Source organism: Homo sapiens, chromosome 17, assembly GCF_000001405.40.
Source record: "Homo sapiens chromosome 17, GRCh38.p14 Primary Assembly".
NCBI lineage: Eukaryota > Metazoa > Chordata > Mammalia > Primates > Hominidae > Homo > Homo sapiens.
This window is the reverse complement of record NC_000017.11, coordinates 34,355,495-34,364,909: the sequence shown is the minus strand read 5'-3', so window position 1 is coordinate 34,364,909 and position 9,415 is coordinate 34,355,495. Positions and strand designations below refer to the sequence as shown.

Sequence of the window (9,415 nt, the reverse complement as noted above, 5' to 3'; positions counted from 1 at the left end):
GCCTCCACTGAGGCATGACATGAAGAACCACAAATATCCAGGTGAGTAGCTCGGTGCTCCACCCAATTGATGGTGTGGAGCCACTGCAGGTTTTTGAGCTAAAGACTGCACAATCAGAGTAGATCAGTCTAGCCATCACTCTATATAATGCACACAGGCTTCATGATTTCAATGCCTAGATTTGGCTCAGCTACTTTTTCTTGAGCACCTACTATGTGCTCTTTATTCCGAGTACTGCATACATCTTTATGACCCAGTCTTCTCTGTAGCTGTACAGCCACATCTCTCTGCAACCACTCTCTCACTCCTGTCACTCTCCTTGGACCCTACACTTCTGCTTTTCCTGATGATTTGAAATGAAGTGTGCTCCCTTATGCCTTGTTGTCCTCATAGAAGACCCTGCCTCTACTTAGCTTTCCCCTCTCCACATCAGCACACAGGAGATATTGCTTAAAGAACATTCTCCTGGCTGGGGTGGTGGCTCACACTGGTAATCCCAGCACTTTGGGAGGCCGAGGCAGAAGGATTGCTTGAACCTAGGAGTTCAAGACCAGCCTGGGGAACACAGTGAGACTCCATCTCTACGCAAATAAAAAATAAAAAAATTATCTGGGCAAGGTAGTGCACACCTATAGTTCCACCCACTGTGAGGCTGAGGCGGGAGGATCGCTTGAGCCCAGGAGTTTGAGGCTGCAGTGAGTTTGCACCATGGCACTCCAGCCTGGGCAACAGAATGAGACCCTAGAAAAAAAAAAACAAAAAGGAAAAATTCCCTGGCTGAGGCTGGAGGATTGCTTGAGCCCAGGAGTTTGAGGCTGCAGTGAGTGTGTGCCACTGCACTCCAGCCTGGGTGACAGAGTGAGACTCTAGAAAAAAAAAAACAAAAAGGGAAAATTCCCCTGGCAGGACTCTCAGATGCTGCTGAGTAGCTCTCAGTCCTCTCTGTAACCCAAACATAACACATCTATCTCTGTGCTTACACTGGGTGGCTTTCACTTGTTTATCTGTGAATTGAAGAGAAGTTGCTTGAGGTCAGGCAGTGCTCCTCATTGGTAACTGCCTTCTCTGGGGCTAACCAAGGACCTAGAACAGAATAAGCTATTGAAAATTGTTGAGGATTAAAAAAATAGAAAAAATAGAAATGGCAAATATCTAGGCCAGTCACTGGACATAGAGAATGTTATTTAATTCTTATCGCACGTCCTTGAGACATGTATTGCTATTTGCATTTTGTGTGAATATGAATTTGGGTAAGTTTATGTAATCCCTCCTCTGCAGAACTGGGATTCAAATGCAGGTGTATCTCTGTTCAGGTCCAGACTCTTCTGCCCTGAAGCAGTAGTACTTGGATGGAATGACGTAGGGTTGGACAAGCCACACAGAGGCCACTTCCTCTCACTTACTTTTCTTTGCTTCCCACTCAACCAGGACAGTTCCCACGCACTTTTTCAAGATTCTTATCTGCTCCCACACTTAGGGAAGTTCCCAATGCAACCTATCAATCCATCACCACCACGAATACCAGCCAGGAGAGGTGGGGAAAGGAGTTTACCACATGGTCGCTGGGTGTGAGCAACTGTTCCCTGTCCCTATGGCTTCCCACTTGTGGCTCCCACCATGGCCTGGAGTTTTGGGTGGAGTTTTTCAAATAAAAGCCCTCAGCATTGCAGGACGGCACAGTGGTGAGCTCTTAGCTTCACCAGGCTCATCAAAGCTGCTCCAGGAAGGCCCAAGCCAGACCAGAAGACATGCAGATCATCACCACAGCCCTGGTGTGCTTGCTGCTAGCTGGGATGTGGCCGGAAGATGTGGACAGCAAGAGCAGTGAGTGTGGCAGGCATCATTTTGCTTCTCTCTGGGGAGGGCAGAAACGTGGTCAGCCACTCTGGGGTTGGAGCAGGCTTCTCCTTGAACTCACCAACTCTATCTCCCCTCTTCCTACCTAAAGAGGAGGAATGGTGAACTTGGACAGGCTGGGGTGAGGGCTAGTAGGAGAACCATGAGTTGGGGCAAACACAGAGAACTGAACTGACAGCTTCAGTACAAGGAGGCTCTGCTTCATCCAGACCCAAGGAAGGGAACCTGTGAGGTTACTCGGGTAAAGCTGGGAGGCCTAAGGTCCAGGGGACAGCCTGGGTGTAGCTTCTACAGTGTGACAGACACCAAGTAGAGTCAGAAGGCAAGACCGGGCTCTAACAATTGGTCACTCTTGGGCAAGTCACTTTAGCTCTCAAACTCTACTTTCTCTATCAGTGAAATGGAGTTGATGATGTCTGCCCTCCAAGACTGTTTGGAGAATACCAACCTAGTAAGAGGCATGAAAGGGGGTGCAAACAGAAAAACTAGGAGGAAGAAGCTGGGATTGGAATGCAGGTCTCTTGCGGGATGTGGTGTGGGAGGAGAATGCACAAATGGACAGAGTGGGGGTTGGGGGCTGGGAAAGAGCTAAGGACCAGGGCAGGAGGGGATTCAAGAGACTGAGTAGGGCAGCTAGCTAGTTCCTGGGAGCTCTTCCCTTGTCATCTCATCAGTTTGGACTCCTCGAACAATTCCTAATCTTCCCCAGATCAGGTCTGTGAACTGTGGACCACTGTGTCCTGCATCAGACTAACCAGGTCCCCAGGGTGTGGGGTCCAGAGCCCTTGGACATGAATACTGGGGCAGAACCATGCACATGTGGTGAAATACCAAAACTGGATGAGCCTTTAGAAACCAGGCTCCAAAAAGTTTTATTTTACAGATGGGAAGTCTGGGGCCAGGGTGAAGGCACATCTTCCTCAGGGCCACTCAGCTGGGGTGCGGGGAGCTCAGATCTGAACCCCAATCTTCTGACTCTTTACCTAGCCCCAGAACAAGGTGGCTGATGAGGCAGAGCTATGCCGGCACCGTCTGGATGTGGTCCCCAAGCCAGGGCTTGTCCTGGGAGGCGTTTTTTTGTTTGTTTTTTAAAAATTGTGCTACAGGTGAGAGGTTGAGAAATGGATGCAAACCATCGTCTGTGTTCCTCTTCTAGTGCAGGTACCCTTCTCCAGATGTTGCTTCTCATTTGCGGAGCAAGAGATTCCCCTGAGGGCAATCCTGTGTTACAGAAATACCAGCTCCATCTGCTCCAATGAGGGCTTAATGTAAGTGATCACCTGCTCAATCTCTCCCTAGAGAACAGAACCCCGCCAGCCTGGAATTACAAGAGTAGACACTAGATGACAGTATTTTACCAGAATAAGGTTTCTAAACCCAGAGCTGCCAGCACCTGGGTGCAAGCCACACTTGGGCGCTAGAGGGAGCGCTGAGCTTCCTAGCAGGTGTGAGGAAGGATGCATCTGTGCTCCTGCAGTGGCTTGTGTTTCCTGAAACTCCAAGGTGCCAAGTATTGTATCCCAGCATTATGAGCTCAGAGGTTTAACAAAAGCATGAGGGGTTATTGTGCACTGGAAAGAGCAAGGGAACCAGGATGAGTTCCTGCCCCTGGATTTGGAACCCATAGTCTTGGGTGACCGTGGACAGGTAACTCCTTTGTACTGAATTGTCTGTGTATCCTTCTGTATTCCTTATCTGTGAAGGGTCATAAACATAGCTGTATCACAGGGTCTTTACAAACTTAATTGGAGTAGCTTTCACAAACCAGTCAGTATTTTAAGGCTTTTTCATGTATATTCTCTCTGTCGATCCTCTTGGGGCACATATTTTTGTTATCATGAAAAGTGAGGTTCAGGAAGGTAGAGATATTTGTCTAAGATCAACCAGAGAGTAAGAGATAGAGTTGGTCTATAGATTGGACAATAGTCCAGTTTAGGAAGTAGACAGATCAGAAGAGAAAAATACACACACCCACACACACACAAGGCGCGCGCACACACACACACACAAACACATGAGTCCAACGCAACAAGTAAGGCCCCAGATGGACACAGAAACATTAAAGTTGGTGCAAAGAGCTATTCCAGGATGGGAATTTCTCATCTCACCTAATCGTCAGAATGTTTTCAGGCTGTTCAGCCCCACCCTGATACACCAAATTGAAACCAGGAGAGGGGTCCAGGAAATTCAATTCATAAGCTCCTGGTGCTTTGGCTGTTCCCCAGCGTGCAAACCACACATCCTGTGCAGCAACTTCATTTACAGAGGGGAGCCCAAGGCCTAGCAAGAGCAGTTTAGGGGACCTGGCAGCCGGAGGAGGCGGGGCTTGTGCGTTGCCCACCCAGTGGTGGCTTGGGTGGCTCAGCCTTCTCTCTTATTCTCTGTTCACAGATTCAAGCTGAAGAGAGGCAAAGAGGCCTGCGCCTTGGACACAGTTGGATGGGTTCAGAGGCACAGAAAAATGCTGAGGCACTGCCCGTCAAAAAGAAAATGAGCAGATTTCTTTCCATTGTGGGCTCTGGAAACCACATGGCTTCACCTGTCCCCGAAACTACCAGCCCTACACCATTCCTTCTGCCCTGCTTTTGCTAGGTCACAGAGGATCTGCTTGGTCTTGATAAGCTATGTTGTTGCACTTTAAACATTTAAATTATACAATCATCAACCCCCAACCCTCTGGGTCTCTTGGATTTCAGAGTGAAAACTTGATTGGCATTGAGAGGTGGGAGCCAGGGGCTGAAGGATGGGTCAGGAGGAGGGAGACATGTTGCACCTGGTGCCAGGGGAACTGGGCTAATAAGTGACTCACTAGCTCTCAGTGACTGCCTTTGTCCTGGGGTGTAAGCTTTGAGTCAGGGTGGTGGTGCAGATTCTCTGCCTCCAGATTTGGCTGCCAGGAGTGGTACAGTGGAACAGAAAGCTGGGGTTCACAGCTGGATCCACATTTGGGTGCAGGACTCTTCTTCTCCCTGCCCTGCCCAGAGGGCTTGGGGGGTGATGTTATCACCAAATCACAACTGCCCTAGCTGGAGGGGATCATGTGAGGTTGTCTGCCTGTAAAATGTTGCTAAACCCATTTTATAGATGAGGTGACTGAGGGCTAAAGAGAGATGCAGCAATTCAGGGGCAGATCTGGCATTAGAGCCTAGAGCTGTTGCCTCCTAGGACAACTCCTCCAGGTGTCCCACATTGCCAAGTGTACTGCCTGATGCAGTGTGGTACCAGATCTGGGGGACAGGCCCTGCTGTTGTCAGCAGTGCCCATCTCTTCTTGAGGAAGATCTCAGTGGGTGTCCAGGCATGGGTAGGTTCTGGGTCTGATTGAGATGCCCACCCAGCTTATCTGGAGGAGTGAGGCTGTCTTGGGAAGAGCAGGATAAACCCTTGGTGGACATATAGGAAGAGGAGGGCCAACGCTTTAAAAGGGACAATCACAAGCTTCAATTTGTACAACGTGTGATTCAAGGAAGAATAGCCAAGGAAGGAAGTATTTCTAGGTCTTGGGGTTGGCACGCCTTTAAAGATCACTTTTAGAGGGCAAAGGTCTCATGCTGTGTTTCCCTCATTCCCCATTCAACATGTCACACATCTGGCCCAGTCTTCTTAATCTGCCTCCTCTTCTCCACCCCCATGACTGCCCTTCTTCAGCCCCTATTTTCTCTTGCTTGGACTATTGCAGTAGGCTGTTTTCCGCCCTCCCTTCTCAACTCCATCTTATCCACAGCCAATAGCTAGTCTTCCTGGCATCCATTCTTCCCTCTGGATGACTCAAAAACCTTTGCACCTTCCTCCTGCCTTCAGAACTGAGTCTAAACTCCCCACCCTGATATTCTAATTCCTCTAGAACCTGCCCTCAACTTTCATTTCTACATGTCTCCAACTTTTACATTCTGGAAGCCCATATCGGACCGTTTGGGGATATTCCCCCCAGGCCCTCTCCCCACATTGCTATCTTGGACCTCCCCTAAAAGAATCTTTGCTATGACCATACTTCCCCATCCTCTAAAGTCCATTAGGCCCAAGCACCCTCTTCCCTACCAATCCTGAGGCTCACTAGGACTTGGTCATCTGGTTTCCCTCTGAGTGTCAGGTGCACATGAAGTCTGAATCACTTGCTGCTTGGAGTGGGGAGGCATAGATTGGGGTGGGAGACTAGAGGGGGAGGGATGGGTTTACTTTTGGCAGGAGTGTGGTTTTAAAGAAAGAAATGAACTGAATATGAAACGGATGAGTTGCGAGCCAGGAGCGCCCATGCTGGGGACTGGAGCCATTGTTCCAGAACAGCCTGGGCTGGTGAGGCAGGCCCTCCTTGAAACTCAGATGAGCCAGGCTAGCCCCATGGCCAGGGCCTCTGTACATCTGCCTTCCACTGGCATGCCATCCACCCACACCTCTGAGAGCCCCTACTGGTTGGCAGTTACTCCTGAAGAAAACACCACTGTGTAGGAGATTTTAAATAAAATGTATTTTCTGCAAAATGTCAGCAGTCCTACTATTGCATTCATCTTTCCACAATAACATATTTAGCAACACCTCACATTCACAAAGAGCTCTCCTTCCTACATTGCAGCATCCCTTCATGTCCATGACTCCCACAGGCATGCTCTCAACCCCTGGGAACCGAATACAAACCCACTGCCAGCAGCTCATAGTGGAAGGGAAGGGGGCTTAGAGACAGCAACCTACTTGCTCAAGGCCTTGCTTTAGAAAAGATCAGCAATACTCAAATAAACTCCAAACCAGCAACAAGTCAAATAATAGCCAATATTACTTAACACATAGTACATTTTGAATCACAAAACCGAATGCATCCTATTTGAAAATTATGGTAGAAGTATTCCAAAGCATAGAAGAGGAGGCCAGAGGAGAATGGAAAAGTCATTTCACGTACTCCAGCTTGATTTCAGTAGGGGTAGCAGAGTTCAAGTCTTCAGGGTGTGAGCTTTCCGGCCCAGGTGTTTCATATAATTCTGGACCCACTTCTCCTTTGGGTCAGCACAGATCTCCTTGCCCAGTTTGGTTCTGAAGCTGTGGAGGAAGGAGATCTGGCACAGTTAGATGGAACCCTTTGAGGGTTTACCCAGGAGATGACACACTGGGTTCTAAACCTGCCTGGTCCACCTACTACAGGTGAAGGGGCACCCCTCCAGGACAGGAAGTAGGAGGTGTGTGGACAGAAGGGGTCTCTGGAGGCAGCCACTGCTCTTGCTGCCCCTGGGAAACTGATCCTGGCATCTGCTAAAGGGTGTGGGCTGGTGCCCATCCAGGAAACAAGGTGTGGGAAATTATAGGTCCTCTTTGGACCTGTTGTGCAGCCAAAATTGGAGGATTTGCATCACACAGTCTGGCTAGATCTCATCCTAAGATCTCAAGTCAGTCTGACGTCTGTCTCCTGGGGCAGAACTTTGGATTGGGGAATGTGGGAGTGGGGAGGAGCCAGGTGAGCAGGGATTTTTCTACCCACATGACAGCCTTCTGGGGACACCTGCTGGTGGTGATCACATAGCTCTTCAGCCTCTGCAAGGAGATCTTCTTACTGCTAAATGTGAAGCAGCAAGTAGATGGGACGTTGAGTGCATCTAGAAATAGTTACAAAGAAAAAGACTTTGAGGATGTGTTAGGCTTTTCTCAGCTTGAATACAGCAGGGAGCATCTGTATGGGATGCAAAGCAAAGAGGAAGAAATAGATCTTACTCACCCCCAAGCCCAGCACTCCCACCCTAGACCCTGAGGTGAGGTGGGACCTGTGACATGTGCCTCAGGATCTCAAAGGCTCAGCTGCATGGTGGAGACATGTCACAGCCATCTAGGGGAGGCCACGGGCAAGGCCAGTGGGAAAGGTCCTGGGTGTGGTCCCAGATCTGCAGAGTTTGGGACGATCAGATGAGGTCAAAGAAAAGGCCCTAAATCTGGAGTCAGAAGCTTAGGTTTCATTCTTGCTCTGCAATAACCTGGAGGTGGATGGCTAGGGTCCCTTCTGCCTCCAACATGGGCTTCAGCTTTCTATCTTTAAAATTAGATGTTAAAGTGAACCTCTGAGGAGCCTTACTATTCTGGTGGGCTTAGAAGTGGGGCACTTGGCTGGGCCTGGTGGCTCACGCCTGTAATCCCAGCACTTTGGGAGGCCGAGACGGGAGGATCACTTGAGGTCAAGAGTTTGAGACCAGCCTGGCCAACATAGTGAAACCCCTTCTCTACTAAAAATACAAAAATTAGCTGCACGTGATGGCGGGTGCCTGTAATCACAGCTACTCAGAAGGCTGAGGCAAGAGAATCGCTTGAACCTGGGAGGTGAAGGTTGCAATGAGCCAAGATCGCACCCCTGCACTTCAGCCTGGGCAACATAATGAGACTCAATCTAAAAAAAAAGTGGAGGAGCACTCGGGCTTAGGTCTTCCTTGAATAGAGAAACAGAGGGAAAGAGAGGGAGAGTCGAAGGGAGGTGACTTACCTGGCTGAGCAAGTCCCTGGGGGTTGAAAGCTGCTGTCATGAGCAGCAGGCACAGAAGCACTGCAGAGACTTTCATGTTGAAGGTTAAGAGTTGGAGATTTCACAATGTTTCTTTGCCTCTCTGCTCCTCTGGCTGTTCCGCCGGCCTTTTATAGGGAGTGGAGAAGCTTGGAACTCTCAGAGGACCTTGGCCTGAGCAGGGCGTTGACCAAGTCATGATGAAGGGGGATCCTGAATCTGCTGAGCTGGAGCTGGGCACCAAAGACTTTTCTAGGAAATGCAAGAGGGAAGCTGAGGGCTGAAACAGCATGGCATGGCTTCCTTCTGGCTGTTCAGGCCACAAGGAGCCAGAGAGGAGAAAGGGACACAGACGCGCCCCAGCCATTCACCATGGGAAGCCATAAAGGAGCTGTTTTCTTCTTACTTTCTCCAACAGGAAAGAGAAAAACAATGAAAATTAACTCCTGTAGAGAAAGAGTGCTGTGCTAAGGACTCTGTTCACGTTATATATTTAGTTTGAGGAGGTACATACCATTATTATCATGCCCATTTCATAGAAGAGGAAACGGATGCAGAGAGATTAAATAACTTGACCAAAATCTTATGGGAAATGAGAGGGAAAGCTAGAAGAGAAAGCTGGTCTGCTTATATTTTATCACCAAGGCAGTTTCAACTTTTGTTTAGCAGCAGAAGTCTTTTTCCAAGTCAACTTTTATGTGGAAGTCTAATATCTGAAACAGATTAAGTCAGATTTCTGATGACAGGGGCTCCTTACATTACATATTGTGTCCCCTTCTGCCCCTCAGGCCCAGAGGGACATGGTTCAAACACCTCTGATTGATGCAGGCCCCGTGTTTCCAGGAAGGACCATTGGGTTTCTAGAGCTGTTGATGGGAGGGCTGGGGTGGCCCTCAGAGCAAAGAAGTGAGGTGTTTGGCCCATTCCTGGGCTCCTCCTGCGAGGGGCACATATCTGGGAGCTGGGAGGTGGGGAGGGAATGGCTTAAAATGGTTGAACATGTCCCTTTCCCACTCATCCCTAGCTCCAAGACTTGGCACAGTTTTTGTGCCTTCCTGGAATACTCATCCCTCTGCATTCCACTATAGCA

General features: G+C 49.1%; 2 protein-coding genes across 2 annotated transcripts; one reads left to right on the top strand and one right to left on the bottom strand.

Annotated features, from left to right (window-relative positions):
* The first annotated feature begins 1,676 nt into the window (after nucleotides 1–1,676).
* CCL1 (C-C motif chemokine ligand 1) lies at nucleotides 1,677–4,582 on the top strand. Its single transcript, NM_002981.2, has 3 exons — nucleotides 1,677–1,824; nucleotides 3,014–3,125; nucleotides 4,249–4,582. The coding sequence occupies exons 1-3, from the start codon at nucleotides 1,749–1,751 to the stop codon at nucleotides 4,349–4,351; spliced, it is 291 nt and encodes a 96-aa protein (NP_002972.1). The 5' UTR covers nucleotides 1,677–1,748; the 3' UTR covers nucleotides 4,352–4,582.
* A 1,717-nt stretch (nucleotides 4,583–6,299) lies between these two features.
* CCL13 (C-C motif chemokine ligand 13) lies at nucleotides 6,300–8,430 on the bottom strand. The gene is made up of 3 exons (NM_005408.3): nucleotides 8,308–8,430; nucleotides 7,321–7,435; nucleotides 6,300–6,884 (listed from the first exon to the last, which is right to left on the bottom strand). The coding sequence occupies exons 1-3, from the start codon at nucleotides 8,381–8,383 to the stop codon at nucleotides 6,779–6,781; spliced, it is 297 nt and encodes a 98-aa protein (NP_005399.1). The 5' UTR covers nucleotides 8,384–8,430; the 3' UTR covers nucleotides 6,300–6,778.
* Between the last annotated feature and the right edge of the window lie 985 nt (nucleotides 8,431–9,415).